Genomic DNA, 16,109 nt, shown 5'->3' on the forward strand with positions numbered 1-16,109 from the left:
GAATGCATTTTATGATAGAGATTAACAGAGTATTATAAATTATTTTTAATTGTTAATTTCATCTTGTTTAGAGAAAAGAACAAGTAAATAGTGTAAGTAAATAGTGAAAAAAACCCTCTTCTTGGGGGTTTGTTCTCTGCCAGGCATGATGCAAAGCACCTTTTGTTGATTGCCCTTTTCTATCCTAACACGGCCTACCCAGTTAGATTCTTCATGATCCCTATTTTAATATAGGCCAACTGACTTTCCAGATCTCCTGCTTATGACTTTTTTGCATATTCTGTACTTTGTTTCACTCTACAGTGGTGGTTCTGAATCTGAACTTCTTTTTCCCTCTCAGGGGATGTTTGACTGTGTCTGGAGGCAATTTTAGTTGTCATTACTTGGCAGGATTGAGTATGGGTTTGGGGTTTGCTACTGTCATCTAATGAGTAGAGGCCAGGGATGGTTCTAAACATCCCACAATGCCCGGGACAGCCCTCATGGCAAGAAACTAGCTGGCTCAAAACAACACAATGCTCTGCTCTATAGACATGGAAAGTAAAGGATTGTATCAAGGCTATCCTCTTTTGCCAGAACTCACTTAGACAGATCTACTTTTTCATAAAAGTATCAAACATAGCTACAAAAGATGGGTGAGACAGTAACCTCCTCAGCAAAACTCTAGCTTTCTTTTGAACTATTCAAAGCCAAGATAGCTTTGCTTCATATTGGCAAAGAAAACAGGAATGAAATATACCAATATTTAAAAAGATAATCTTACTGTGTACAAATTTTCTGTTTATCATTTTATTAAAACAGGAATACACTATTGATATATTTTTTGCGCAAACGTGGTATGACAGACGTTTGAAATTTAACAGCACCATTAAAGTCCTCCGATTGAACAGCAACATGGTGGGGAAAATCTGGATTCCAGACACTTTCTTCAGAAATTCCAAAAAAGCTGATGCACACTGGATCACCACCCCCAACAGGATGCTGAGAATTTGGAATGATGGTCGAGTGCTCTACACCCTAAGGTATTCTTTTGCAAAAGGAAAGGAGTAATTGTTAGGAAGAAAACAAACAAACACAAAAATCAACCTTAAGTCTCTAAAAGAAAAAAAAAAAAGGAAATAAATTTCAAGACTGCATCAGGGTTGGCATGCTATCAATTAGTATATGACATCAAAACATTAGTTTTTTCTTTTTGTTATCAATGAGCTTTTTCAAAGCACTAATTATAGGCAAAGCTTATTTTCCACAACTGCTGTGAAAACTATTTTTTGTCACAACTGACCTGAAATTTCCTTTGTCTTGCAAGATCATCTGACCTTTGCACCTACGCTTTGCACTCTTATGCTTGGCAATATCTTCATTTCCAAGGAAATAGTTGCTAAAAGAGAATTTTTGAGGTGTATGTCTCCATACATCCTTCTCTTTTTAGCTTCACAATAGCAGGCACCTAGAATCTATTATCTTTCATCTCCTGGCACCCCACTTCCCATTATGTTAATAGGCTATTTAAATTAATTTGTTGTCTATCTTGGGAATAGACATGGGAGAAAGTTGAAGGAGCTATGGTTCAGCCTCTGAAATTAAATTCTGAAATTAAATTGTGAAATTAGAGTAAAATGCTACCTTAATAAAATAATTATTTTATGCCATTACCTTAGCACTTCATACTTTGCATTTAAAACATTTTTACATTGAATTTTCTCATTGGTGGGAATACATTATTAGACAGAATAATAGATAAGTACATAGTCTTACGAATCAGACATCCGACTTTGGTTCTTAGCTCTCTCTCTTACTATCTGTAGGAACTAGGGCAACGCTCCAGCATTTCTATATAAAGGGACTTAGGGGCAGCTATCTGGTAGCAGGACTTTTAGTGTTAGAAGCTTTGTTTGCATAGTAAGCATGATGTTTTTACATGGTTATGTTTTTATTTAGAAAAATTAAGTGAGAACTGATGGAAATTATTGGGAAAGAAAGCACAACCATGCTGTCCCACCCTGTACTGCCTCTCCCCCGACCTTGACATCACAACTGAGCAAACTCTTTTACCTTTCATTTCTTTAATTTCTATAAAACAGATATAGTTCTTCTGACCTTACGGAGTTGCTATAAGGACAAAATAGGGTGATAAGTAAAGTGATTAACATAGAGCCTGATATATAGTAAATATAGAAAATATTAAAATTATTTATACATTTTCAATCAAAATAAGAATAATGCAATTCTAAATCTTCATATCAAATGATTCATGTTAAATGTGCTTGCTCAACATACAAAATATAATACTTGAATAGGCTCCAAAATCTTTATTAATTATATCAGTTATTAGAAAAAGCCACAATTCCAAAATAAATTCATTCCAGGCATTTTATATTTATCATGGCTTTTGTAAACTTAGAGATATAGTAATGACTGAGTTTATTTTTATTTATTTATTTATTTATTTTGAGACAGGGTCTCACTGTGTCACCCGCTGGAGTGCAGTGGCATGATCTGGGCTCACTGCAATCTCTACCTCCCAGAGGTTCAAGTGATGTTCCCACCTCAGCCTCCCAAGTAGCTGGGACCACAGGCACGTGCCACTACACCCTGCTAAGAATTTTTTTGTATTTTTTTGTAGAGATAGTCTTACTATGTTGCCCATGTGGTCTTGAACTCCTAGGTTCAAGCGGTCCTCAACTCAGCCTCCCAAAGTCTGGGGATTATAGGCGACAGCCATGGCATCTGGCCAATGCCTGAATGTAGAATCTAGTGGGTACAAAATTCGCCTGATACATCAGAGCTCAGTCCAGCTTTTGAAATATGAAGCCAATCATACTATCTCAAGTGTCTTTATTGTTCTTATAACATTGTAGTCATTTTGGGACTTAATTTATGGAATCATTACATTAGTTAGTTATGAAAGCCACCTCAAAAGTGTCACTAATGGAGATTCAATCAAAGCTTGAATGGTTACCAGTCTACATAGAGAGATGATTTTGTTCTGGCTATCTAAAATGAGCTATGAGTGTGTTTGTGTGTTTTTGTGCATGCCCAAAGACATTTAGATCTGTATCTATGTTTGTATCTGCAATTATATTATTTTCAATTTTAATAATTCCAGTTTAATTTGGAGTAATAATACTAATAAAATATCAAGTTTAATTGTAGCTTCCTTTATGAATAAAACTATTCTTCCCTTTGAAGAGCATATAAATATATAGTAACAATGATTAAAACCTCCAGCTTTGAAGGTAGATAATCTTGGGTCCAAATTTCAACTGTGCCTCTTGTTATGTGACTTTGGACAAGTTCAGGTACAATAAATGCATAATAATACTTATTAAATGAGGAAGCAATTCACTCTACCCAGTGCTTCATAGTTAATTAAGGTCTCAATAATTATTAGATATATTTTAACATCAGTAATTGCTCCGTTATATCATAGAATGATAGATTCTTAATTCTGTTCAATTAAAAATTATACTAATTAGAAAATCTCTTAAAAATAAATTTTCCTAAAATAATACTTTCCTTACATCAATAATATCTGTACAATGTAAGAGATATAGCTAAAAATATGAAATTTTAAAAATCATCAACCCATTACCATTACAATTTGAGATTATATTCATATTTACCCAAAGGTGGTCAAGACATTTGACTTTCAAATCTTCTCCCTCCTGGAGTTCCAGCCCAGGACTTGAGACTGAGAAAATCTGTATACTTTAATAAGAACTAACTAATAAGGCATAAACTAATTAAGATTTACTGGCAAACATTTTTCAAATATGTCTGTGTATGTGCTTTTAACATTTCTTGTTTTCCATTAGATATTCTTCTACTCTATAATATCCTATTTAATGACATCTTCTGGAAGATCCTAGTGACAGTGTAGTGTAGAATTAATGCCACACCATTGTGCAACACAGGTATTTGTACACTCACCTTTAGCAATTAAAGCTAACAGCTAACAAGTTCTTACAAACAGAAGGTCCTGCTTTAATTAGCAGTTAAGATCTTAGAATTATCAACATTCATTTACAAGCAAACAGTAAACGAGCTTAAGTTCTTAAAACAGTTGGCTCTGTTAAATATATTCACTGAGCGGTTTCACTTGAGCAATTAATTTGCAAAGAGAAAAACCAAAACCAAAAACTTAAGTGATCATAAATTTTCAATAAATATAGTTGAGGTAAGTGAGGTGCTATTATTTGGTCTGTGAAAATGAACAGACTACATTAAGTCTTATGTAATTTTTTCCTGGACTTGGTGGATTTCTTCATTGGGGATCACTCTGTGTTTTCAATCAGAATGTGAGATATTCTCTAGAAAAACAATCATTTAAAATTGTGCAAATTTACAATTTAAAATTATGTCTAAAATCCATCTTATGTTTAATATCTTTCTACTTAGGTTGACAATTGATGCTGAGTGCCAATTACAATTGCACAACTTTCCAATGGATGAACACTCCTGCCCCTTGGAGTTCTCCAGTTGTAAGTAATATTCCTTCTCCATTTGTATCCTCCCTCACCTACAGTCTTTCTGATTGCCATGTTAATTAATTGAAAGAAGCATAACAAATTTCAAAGTTGTATTAAGTTATGTTACTGACTTCGATGATTTTGACCATCTCTTTCATCTTAATCCCAGCTTGCTCCGATTAGGGTGATTCCTGCAAAAGAAGGGCTGATTTTATTAAGAATTACAATAGGTTTCCTTGAGTTGCAAACTTTTAATATATTGGTTGCATAGAGCCTTTTTTTTTTTTGTAAGGGATTGTAAAGCCAACCCTGGACTCAATAGAAAAGGTGCAATCTTTAATTATATATCCTCTTCCTTTCTCTCCTATGGGCCTAGGAAGGGACTATAGCAGCACATTGCTAGTTAAGGCCTGCCCCACAGGACAATTATTTCATTGATAAAATATATGTGAACTACTACTTGACACACATAAGATCAAATATAAAACCATTATTTTTACATTTATTATTTTTATCAGATAGATAATAGAATGTAGCAAGAGGATCCATGATGATCTAACACAGATTATGCTTTAGTAACCTTTACAAATATTTCCTGCCTGAATCAAAGCCAAGCAAACCTAAATTTCCCAAAACATTTTCCTTACTATTTGTTCAGCATCCATGAAAGGTCAATTGCTTCTTTTACATTTTTTGTCTGCCAGTTGTACATATTGGACAGAATAAAAATCTGATTATAGATTTTAAAAGTATGTTTGTAGAAATGTAATTTCTCAACCAGGGAGTCCACCAAGTCATAGTAATCACAGTTTGAAAAACGTTGATGATCAGAGAAGTAATCACCTGTTTATCACTTCATCAATACCAGAGGAAACCAGAGGAAAAATATCACTGGACATCATATTTACCTAGAAAAATTCTCATTATAAAACTTATTTCATGTTTTCCTGAATCCAAGAATGAAATATATTTAATTATAAAGTTAAAGCTTCCCTGTGCTTTAGAGAGATAAGCCTTCCTTTCTTTTAATACTCCAATTGGGACTACTTCTTTCTTGCGTCAGCTAAAATTCAAGAACTGTTGATTTCTCTGCCATCAGGTGGCCAGTTGAAAATGATCCTCTGAACCCAAACACAATTTAATATTACTCATTGCTATCAGAATAATTCAGTCACCAGCACATTCTCTGCCTCATATCATCATTTTTGTTGTTGTTGTTGTTGTTTTGTTTTGTTTTGTTTTGGACAGGGTCTCGTTCTATTGCCCAGGCTGGAATGTGCAGTGGTGTGATCTCGGCTCACTACAGCCTTCGCTTCTGGGGCTCAACTGATCCTCCCACCTTGGCCTCCAGAGTAGCTGGGATTTCAGGCACGCACCACCATACCCAGCTAATTTCTGTATTTTTTGTAGAGATGGGGCGTCGCCATGTTGCCCAAGCTGGATATTATCACTGTTTTCCTCAATTTTCATCACATACTATCATATCTCTCTCCATCCCCTCCATCCCTTCTAGGGACTCTCTCTTTTTTTTCCTCCCTCTTTAATTAATATAAACATATAATAGATAAAGCTGCATCAAAAGGAACAGAAAGGGGGAACTATGTGGGATTTTATTCCAAGTACTCAATCAGTGTTCATAATCAAACTAATCTTTACATGGCATTATTATTTATTATCACATAATAATTAGTATTATTAGTAGACAAACTGTTAAAATGATTTCTGATTTTTATTTATTTTCTTGAAAAAGTTAATTCTGCAGTTGACTTCATAATAATGTTTATCCATTCAACAAATATACATTGACCATCAATTCTGTGAGATAAGTACTATTATCCTCCCTATAAGAGGACAAACAATTTAGGAGGAAAAATATACACTTGTCCAGGGTAGAATGGCTGGGAAATGGTACTCATAACCACTACTTTATCTCACCTCCCCAGTGTGATGTCTTCAATGAATACTCTCTGTTCTATTAGTACAAGCTCATTGATATCTTCCTCTTAGCATTTCTACTTACTACTGCTTTGAATTGTGTATTTCTGTGTATATTAAAATGGAGTCCCAACAAATTGAGAAAGAAAGATAATAAATAATTTAGGTTACGTTTTCCAACTATCTTCCACTTCAAATGCATTCTTTGGAGAAGTTTTGAGTCTGTACTGTCTTATTATTTTCTGTTTCTATGTGACTCAAAATCTTGCTCTGTTAACTGCCTTTCACTGTGATACAAGACTTTGTATTTCTACTATTTATTATAGACTGGTCACTTGGTATGCACTATTCCAGATGATGTAAAGTATGCATATGGCATATATAAAATCACATGTAGTATACCTTCTATGTCATTTAAATTATTTTCAAGAGTAAATTTGACCTTTGGATTTTTGAATCTAACTTCCCATTAGGATGCAAAGTCATTGCAATTTATGTTCTCATTGCAATGCCCTTTGGTCCAAGATCCTCATTTAGCTTGTAACTATCTTTCTCAGTCTTTACCTCAGTGTCATGTTCATAGAAGATGGTTGCTACATATGCTAATTTATAATCATTTTTAATGTGAGCTTTCCTATCTCACGGCAGATGGCTATCCACGTGAAGAAATTGTTTATCAATGGAAGCGAAGTTCTGTTGAAGTGGGCGACACAAGATCCTGGAGGCTTTATCAATTCTCATTTGTTGGTCTAAGAAATACCACCGAAGTAGTGAAGACAACTTCCGGTAAGATGCACTGGCAAAGAATTTCAAGTGACCCTTCCAGAGTTGAAATTTTGGTATATATGAATTAGAAGATTTTTCAATACCTCTCAATGAATGATAATCAGAAAATTAAATGAAGTGTTTTAACTTTCTAGAGAAAATTATAATTGAAATTCAAGTAGAATAGATAAATATAAATATATTCTACCAATATGGGAAAATTGGATTCAAATTGGATTAGTAAATTATTCCCTAATTTATTTAAGGAAAAATGAATATAATTATGAAAAAATAAAATATTTATTAGATGTACCTGTTTTAGAAAGTATGTTTCATAATGTAGTGAAATCGCCACATTTCACACAGGAAGAGTGAATTTTTTACAAATGCAGAAAAGTAAGCATAGTGGATATGGACCCATTCTCCATTCAGTAGTTTAATATTTTAATCTTATCCATCAGTGGATAATAGAACAAGCCTTGAGTATCAGACAGGATTGGGTTCAAATTCCAATTGCATCAGTTATAAGCTATAGACATTGGGCAAATGTATTGAATCTCTGAGATCAGCTTTTCCAGATACCTAATGTGCATTAAAAAAAATTGCATCACAGGAAGACAGTGTGTATGCAAAATATAAATGAAATGAAATGCTTAGAATGATAGCTGGCACATAGTGAGCACTTGGTCATTAGTAGCTCTTACTAATATTAATTATGATTATCAGATGTGCATGATAATATGGTCAGGAATTGAGATTTAAGACAAGCTAAAAGTAAATATTTTTATATTAAATCTCATGATTTGTAATAGTTATCAATTGTTGATTTAAAACCCTCTGTCGGGCAAGTTAGATATGTTTCCAGACCAGATATGTTTCTGTCTCATGGGTGGCCAGTTTGAACTCTCAGCAATGTTGCTTATATCCTCTATGTAGATTAATCCAACTACTCTTTTTAAAATTATGTTAATTTACATATGTTCGAATTTCAAATACAAACATTGTGTTCTCAGCTTACCATCTATTAAGATGTCATTTGAAGCATATTTCCAAGAGTTGAGGTGTTTGCTGTTGATTTAGTCACAAACACCTGATTATTTTCTAGAATTCATAGGAAATATTTTTTGCGTATGGAATAATTTGGAATCAGGCCTTCATCTACTTTACAGAGAGAAGCAAATAAAGGACCTACACAAAGATGGAAATTTATGATTCGATTCTACTTTCAAAAGTACCATCCTTCAAATCAAAGAATTATCTGGCTGTAACATTGTTTTGAGCATTTGCAACTGTCTCCTAAAGGTTCTTTTATTTGGAAAAAAGAATCTGAAAGAAGGTCATAGTAATGCTTGAGTATATTATTTTAAAATGGCCTTCTGTTCCATTATTTGCAAGAAACCTGACCATCAAGTATTAGTAGAACAATCTTTTTTTTTTTTTTTGAGAAGGAGTCTCGCTCTGTCTCCCAGGCTGGAGTGCAGTGGCGAGATCTCTGCTCACTGCAAGCTCTGCCTCCCGAGTTCATGCCATTCTCCTGCCTCAGCCTCCCCAGTAGCTGGGACTACAGGCGCCCACCACCACGCCTGGCTAATTTTTTGTATTTTTTAGTAGAGACGTGGTTTCACCTTGTTAGCCAGGATGGTCTCGATCTCCTGACCTTGTGATCCGCCTGCCTCAGCCTCTCAAACTGCTGGGATTACAGGCAAGAGCCACCGCGCCCGGCCTAGAACAATCTTTCATCTGGTTCAAAAAGGAAAAGTTCAGGATTGCCTTAGAACTGAAGTCTTCCATTGGCGAAAGAAAACACATACACACACACACACACACACACACACACACCACGTAAAATTAATCTCCAGTTCTTCATGCTTCCAGAATGAGAAATTGGGCATTAAGTTCTGTTGTATATTCATATTTCTATAATTATTCCAGCACTCTAAAACAGAACCCACAAACTCGTGACTAGAAGATTTCTTGTTTAGTTGTTTTGAGCCCAAGAGTGGTATGAAGAACTAATGGTGGAGACAGAAGGGTTGATTTTACATCACAGAGCCCAACATTACCACCTCCCCAATGTCTCGTGTGGAGGATGATCTAGGGAATTTACTATCTATTAGGAGACACTTGTGGGAGAAAATTATCTACTTACTTTAAGCATAGCAAAAATAATTAACAAGGTCTCACAAGGCTATTAATCTTCCTAAGGAAATCACAGCAAAACAGTATTGAAAAGATACTACATTTCACACTGAGTACCATCATGTAACTGATCTCATCAACTCCTTTGTGCATCCTAATATTGTGAATAGCCTTCACAGTTGGCCTTCTCTCCCACTCCTCACCCTGCTGGTTTGTATTTTGTGTGTAGTACTATTTCAACGGGCTCGGTGACGAGAAAGGGCTGAATTGAACATTAGTGTTGATAACGAAAGGCAGGCTGATTTCTGTGACAGCTGATTTTTTTAATGATTGGAAGTTTTTGCTCGATATTTGCTTGATTTTTGATGCTATTCTTATCTTCAAAGCATAGCTGTGTAACTAATGAATGTCTACAAGGAAGTTATGTTTACAAGTTTCTTGGGAAATTATCAGGAGATCAATCTTAGCCAATTATAATGTGACTTTCTTTTAGACTTGTGGTAAATGTATCTCCCTTTAAGATGCCTCTTTTGTAACTGGGGGAGAATATTGCCAAATTGCCACATAGCTTAGTGAAGGATTTTCCAACCTTTATTCATTCAAGCTTTGTTATATCCAAGTAGTGACTGTACTTCTGATTCCTAATTTTTTTCTTTAAATTGATTCATGTGGGTTTTTTTCTTGAATGCGTAATGAATTTTATTATTTTGTTTTAACTTTTAAGTTAGGGGGTACATGTACAGGTTTGTTATACAGGCAAACTTGTGTCTTGGGTGGGGGGTTGTTGTATGGATTATTTTGTCACCCAGGTATTGAGCCAAGTACCTCTTAGTTATTTTTCCTGATCCTCTCCTTCCTCCCAACCTCTGCCTTCCCAAAGACCTCAGTGTCTGTTGTTCCCTTCTATATGTCCATGTATTATCATCATTTAGCCCCCACTTACAAGTGAGAACATGCAGTATTTGGTTTTCTTGTCCTGTATCAGCTTGATAGGGGTAGTGGCTTCCAACTCCATCCATGTTCTTGCAAAGAACATGTTCTCATTTTGTGTGGCTGCATAGTATTCCTTGATACATGGTTTTTTAATGAAGTTAATTTTTTAAAGGAAAGTTAATATAAGGACCATAATTGGAAAACCAGGACATTTAACAAAAATACAAGTGATATAAAAATATGATTAAAAAACAAGTGAATACTCTTACACTTTAAGTGCATATATTTGTGTTCCCTAGACTTTGAATATGTTGAAAAAGAGAGAGAGAGAAAAGGATATTAGAGCTTGAGTAAAGAGCAATTAGTACCAAATCCAGACATTCTCTTTGATATAAACAGAAGAATAGAAGCATTTCATATGAGAGAATTTGCTCACCAGGAAATTTAATGCTATGTGAGAGTCCTTGCATCCACCACCTGAATCATCTCCTTTATTACTACTTTATTTGTACTACAGCTGAGAAAAATATTTCCCCTGTGGTGGGTCGATAAGATTTGAAGAATATTTTTAATTCATTGTCAATATGCTAGAACAGATTCTGGATCCATGATTTCTTCTTCAAACTATAATTCCTTCCTGATTGTTCTATATCTGGTAGAAGAACAACCATTGCCCCAGTGAGCCAGGCGTGAACACTCAGAGTCATGTCTCTGCCTCCCACATCTAATGAATCATGAAGGCACTTATGCTTCTGAAATATCTTGTGTAACTGTCCTCTTTTCAGTTGCCATTGCCACTGTCCTAGTTCATGATTTTGTCTGTTCTCATCTGGAATGTGTCAGTAGCTTATTAAGTTATGTGCCTGCTGTCAATTTCTCTCTCATCTCCAGTCTATGCCTTTCACCTTAATTATAAAAGCTAGCACTTACTAAGCACTAACTACATGCACCATAGCAAGCACTATGTGTAAATGATCTGCTTTCTCATAACCATAGTTAACATTTACTATTAACACAGATGGTATCACTGCAGATGAGAAAATTGAGACTTTGAGGGGTTCATTTTCCTGCAGAAATCAAGGGCAAGCACTGGGACAGAAACTCAAGTGGTCTGCTCTGACATTCATACTCTTAATCACAACACTATTTGACTCCCATCATGGCCCAGTGAGCTGATATATCCCTTCATCATGTCTCAATAATTCAGTAGGTTCAATTGAGCACAAGCTATTGTTTCTAGTATATAAGAATCTGGTCTCAGGAACTTTCCAGTCTTGTTTTCTACAATTTCCCAGCTTGTGAAAGAACCGAACTATTAATATGTTTCTGTGTTTAACTAACCAGTCTTACACTCACATTGAATCTCAATCTCTTTCTGTTTTGAATGACTTCTTAATGCATCACTACCATCTCATCTCTATGACTTTAAGGCTTAAATCAGTGGCATCTCTTCAACAGTGCCTTTGCTGATCTTAATACCAAAACAACTTGAAGCGATTTTTAAGAATGTTCACCACGGGAGTCAGACAGCTCAGGTTTTAACACCAGCTTTGCCATTTACTAGTGGTGTGACTTTATATAAATCATTTAATATATCCGAGCCCAATATCACCAGTATCAACAGGGTTGCTCCAAGGATTAAGAAACATACTACATTAAAAATCTGCCTGACAAGTGGGAAGGACTTGGCAAATGGAAGGCAACAATATTACTGTTATTATCACTATCATTATTATTCCATTAACTCCTCCAAGAGCATTTTCACCCACCTTAAGAAAACATGATTTCTATGTGCCACATTTTCTTAATCCAGTCTATCATTGTTGGACATTTGGGTTGGTTCCAAGTCTTTGCTATTGTGAGTAGTGCCACAATAAACATACATGTGCATGTGTCTTTATAGCAGCATGATTTATATTTCTTTGGGTATATACCCAGTAATGGGATGGCTGGGCACATATACACCATGGAATACTATGCAGCCATAAAAAATGATGAGTTTATGTCCTTTGTAGGGACATGGATGAAGCTGGAAACCATCATTCTCAGCAAACTATCTCAAAGACAAAAAATCAAACACCGCATGTTCTCCCTCATAGGTGGGAATTGAACAATGAGAACACTTGGACACAGGAAGGGGAACATCACACACTGGGGCCTGTTGTGGGGTGGGGGTAGGGGAGAGGGATAGCATTAGGAAATATACCTAATGTAAATGACGAGTTAATGGGTGCAGCACACCAACATGACACTTGTATACATATGTAACAAACCTGCACGTTGTGCACATGTACCCTAGAACTTAAAGTATAATATATATATATATATATATATATATATATATATTTATTTATATAAAATGAAAACATGATTTCTGCCTTGTGTTGCCTGGGCACTTGCTTTACTCCTCAGTCCCTGACCCCTTACTCCACTACATAAGCTTCACAACAGAAACCTTCTTTTAATCATCTCTAAGCCAGTCACCAGACTAATAGTCATAATGGACTATTAACCTGGTGGCTGACTTAAAGGTGATTATAGATAATGGTGGTATTAATCACTTGTGACAATTACATTGATACAACAGTATATCATTCATCAATGAAATACATAATGTGGAATGCTATTATATATATTTTCCATTGCTCATTGTGTTCTCTAAGCTAGAAGAGATTATTCTTTTTGTCATGTTGCCACGGCCAGCTCATCAAATTCTATCCATAATTTTTGACTCTTTTTTCTTCTCTGTTGTCATCCTGAGATGTGGGCTAGAAAAGTGGACAAATGGGTTTCTTACGGGAAACTTACATTGGTGGGATCCTCCTGCCATCATAACGAATCACAAGGAAATATACCACATTTCTCCCAAATCAGAATACCATTAAATCTGTCATATTGTCTTTAGCAATGCATCCAAAACACCAAGGTTTCATGAAACATCTTCATAATTATTTCTGGCATAACCATGTAAATTATTTTCTGTTTTTGTTGTTTTTAATCCCAGTTTTTTCTTAGATTCCATGTTCTAGTTATATTTTCCTGATTTGTATCACAAGGAATATATAACTAGGAAAATGAAAAATCTGTGTACCACTAAATTTATCTTCCTTTCCACCAGTGACATGCAGATCACAATTTCAAAACATCAGCTCCATGGATGAAGTTCATGCTTGTTGCCTGATTTCTAAAGTATACATATACTGTATCTTTACGTGTTGGGCATCATTCTCCCATCATACTGTTCCCTTCCCTGAGATTTTCTTACTATGTTACACCTATCCCAAAGTCTCTGCTCCTATTTATTTTATTATTTAATACCAAGTTCAAGTCCAACCTTCTCTGTCTACATCAATGTTTACATATGAATAAAATGCTTCCTGAAATAGAGAACAATAGCTTCCACCTTTTAGGCTGTTTTAATTTAAATGTCCTTGGTAAGGAGACATGCGTAAAACTTGACTCACGATTTAGATGATATATTTTGGCAGAAAAAAAGGAAAGTTAAAAAGCTACAAGTTAATGGTACTTTTTAAATTGAAGAGGTTGGAAGGGAAACAACAACAACAACAACAACAACAACAAAAACTAAATGAAAATAAAACCTAAATGAAAAAAGAGAAATAAACAACTACAGCACCAATCCTACAGTCTCTTGTTACTCCTGAGTCTCAGTGAGTTGTGAGCCTATTTTTAGTCAATACTAAATTTTTCAAACTACTTGAAGCAGCGTAATATCTTAAAATAAACCAGTGGATGATTGCACAGTAATAGATTTTAATTTTATTTTTAAGCTTCAATTTAGAAAGTTAGCTTTGGTCTCAGGAGAGAAAAGTGTATGAATTATGTAAATAGAGCTGGGCCTAGAGCAGCCATGGGGAAGTCACTTTCCCTCCTTGGGATGAAAGTTCCTTATCTATAAAAGGAGTACATTTGATTAGATGCTTCTCTAAAGTCCTCGTCCTCAGTATTTATTCATAATCCCTGATATAACCAAGGTTACACTGTCAATATCCTAATCTAAGAGCCACTTTCTTTATAAATGAATATTTTTCTAGAATGTTTTTCCTTGATCAAGTTTTCAATAAAATTTCAAAACAAATACAAAAACATACTGCTTGGGGTTTAGGTTTTTAATTTAGAGGAAGCAGTTTTCCCCCCTATCTATTTTGTTCTTAGTGATATGTTATTATACACATTAAACAAAAATGTTAACCAAAAATGATAACCTATTTTCTTTCCATTGTGATTCTGGAACATTTGTATGCTGTGTTAAAAATCACACATTTGGATTTTAAATTCCAAGGTTGTGTTCACACTATCTAGCAGGGAGATAGTTTTTAAGGGGCGGAGGGAGATGGCATAGAGAAGTTCTGTGAAATCAAAGGAAAATTGTCTGGTTTCAAGGTGACACATGTCATTTCTGCTTATGTTCCATTGGCGAGAACTAGTTGCATATTCCCATAGAGATGAACTGAGGTTGGGAAATGTAGCTCAATTTTGGGTTAGGAAAGGACAATGGATTTTATGACTTTCTAGCATCTATGCAATATACACAATGGTATTTTATTTCTCACAAGAAGCTTCTGAGAAAGATATTCTTTTTCCATTTGATAGATGAGGAAACTAAGGTTTAGATGGGCTAAGTTATTTGTTCAAGGATATTCAATGGGTAGAGTTATTTATTCAGATCCACAATTTTTACTCCATAAAGAAATGAATTAAAATAAAAACTATTCCTAAGCTTGATTATAGCTATTTTTACAGAGACATGCAACAATGAAGTATTAGCACTTAATATGGTAGCCATATATATGAATCAACAATATGTTAACCTGTAGGAATACCAATTATCTTTAGATACAGCAAAAGTATAAAGTGAGAAACTTAATTTAGCAATTATATCGTTTCATTTTTCATAAAAGTTATTTACTGCTTATGAGATAGTATTATTTACTAGTTAAGTGGTCATTACTACTCACAAGTTAAGTGGATCTGCACAAGACCATTCAAATCTGACTGTAATTCAAAAATTGTTGAATCCAGTGTATTTGTGAAAACTTGTTCTTTGAAAAAAATCAATTTGAGAGAATATATAATGAAAGGTTTGCATGACTACTATTTACGATAAATTTTAAGATTAATATTTTTGACAGTCTATCAAAACCAACCAGATCAAAAAAGCATTTTTTTTTTTAATCCAAGTTGTTGGTATTTTCTAACCCAGCTGAAAATCCTATTTTGCTACATTTAAGAGACATTTACATCAGTGTGACTGATATAACTAATAGATCTCTAATAAACAGCTACTGCCCCAAAATAAATTTGAAAGACATTTTTTTTTTGAAAATGCAAAAATGTGAGAGAATGAAGACTGAGCCTTCAGAGATGATACTCTACACATAAACTAATTGAAGATTACTTTTACCCTATTTGATGTAAGTGAATGATTCCTTCATCTTATTCTTGCAGTTTCAGAAAATAATGCTATTCAGCATTGCAGATACGCACTTTTAAGCATATCACAGACTGGAAATGGGCAGCAAATAGCAATAAGGAAAATGTATTCTTTTTAAAATATTTTACCTTCTTTTCTTTAAAAGGAGATTTTTATGAAGGCCACAACATTGTGTTGCACAACATTCTAGAAAAGAATTTGCTGGGCATACAGATTAGGGGCTGACTAGAGTTTATTTACCATTTTCACCTGCCATTCATGTAATACATTTCATTTAAGAGATCAAGAACATCTAATTTTAGTAGTACATCCAGCAAAACAGAAACAGATAGTAAAACCCCAAGGAAAAAGGATTGACCAATATGTTAAACATGGTTTACAATGTCACTTTTTTGTTTGCTTTTATTTTTTAT

The 16,109-nt window shown here is 34.6% G+C and overlaps 1 protein-coding gene across 15 annotated transcripts in view; it reads left to right on the forward strand.

The window, feature by feature from the left end:
- The window catches only part of GABRG2 (gamma-aminobutyric acid type A receptor subunit gamma2), an 88,075-nt gene that overhangs the window by 29,372 nt on the left and 42,594 nt on the right, over positions 1-16,109 (forward strand). For 11 of the 15 annotated variants that reach the window (NM_001375349.1, NM_001375344.1, NM_001375340.1 and 8 more), the window contains 3 exons: positions 802-1,022; positions 4,399-4,481; positions 7,053-7,190. In NM_001375349.1, the coding sequence (NP_001362278.1) occupies positions 802-1,022; positions 4,399-4,481; positions 7,053-7,190 (442 nt within the window). Of the gene's footprint in view, positions 1-801; positions 1,023-4,398; positions 4,482-5,717; positions 5,838-7,052; positions 7,191-16,109 lie in introns of all 15 variants that reach the window. The other 4 variants (NM_001375343.1, NM_198903.2, NM_001375350.1 and 1 more) reach the window with 2 other exon arrangements.

The sequence above is a fragment of the Homo sapiens genome, chromosome 5 (genome assembly GCF_000001405.40).
Source record: "Homo sapiens chromosome 5, GRCh38.p14 Primary Assembly".
Taxonomy (NCBI): Eukaryota; Metazoa; Chordata; class Mammalia; order Primates; family Hominidae; genus Homo; species Homo sapiens.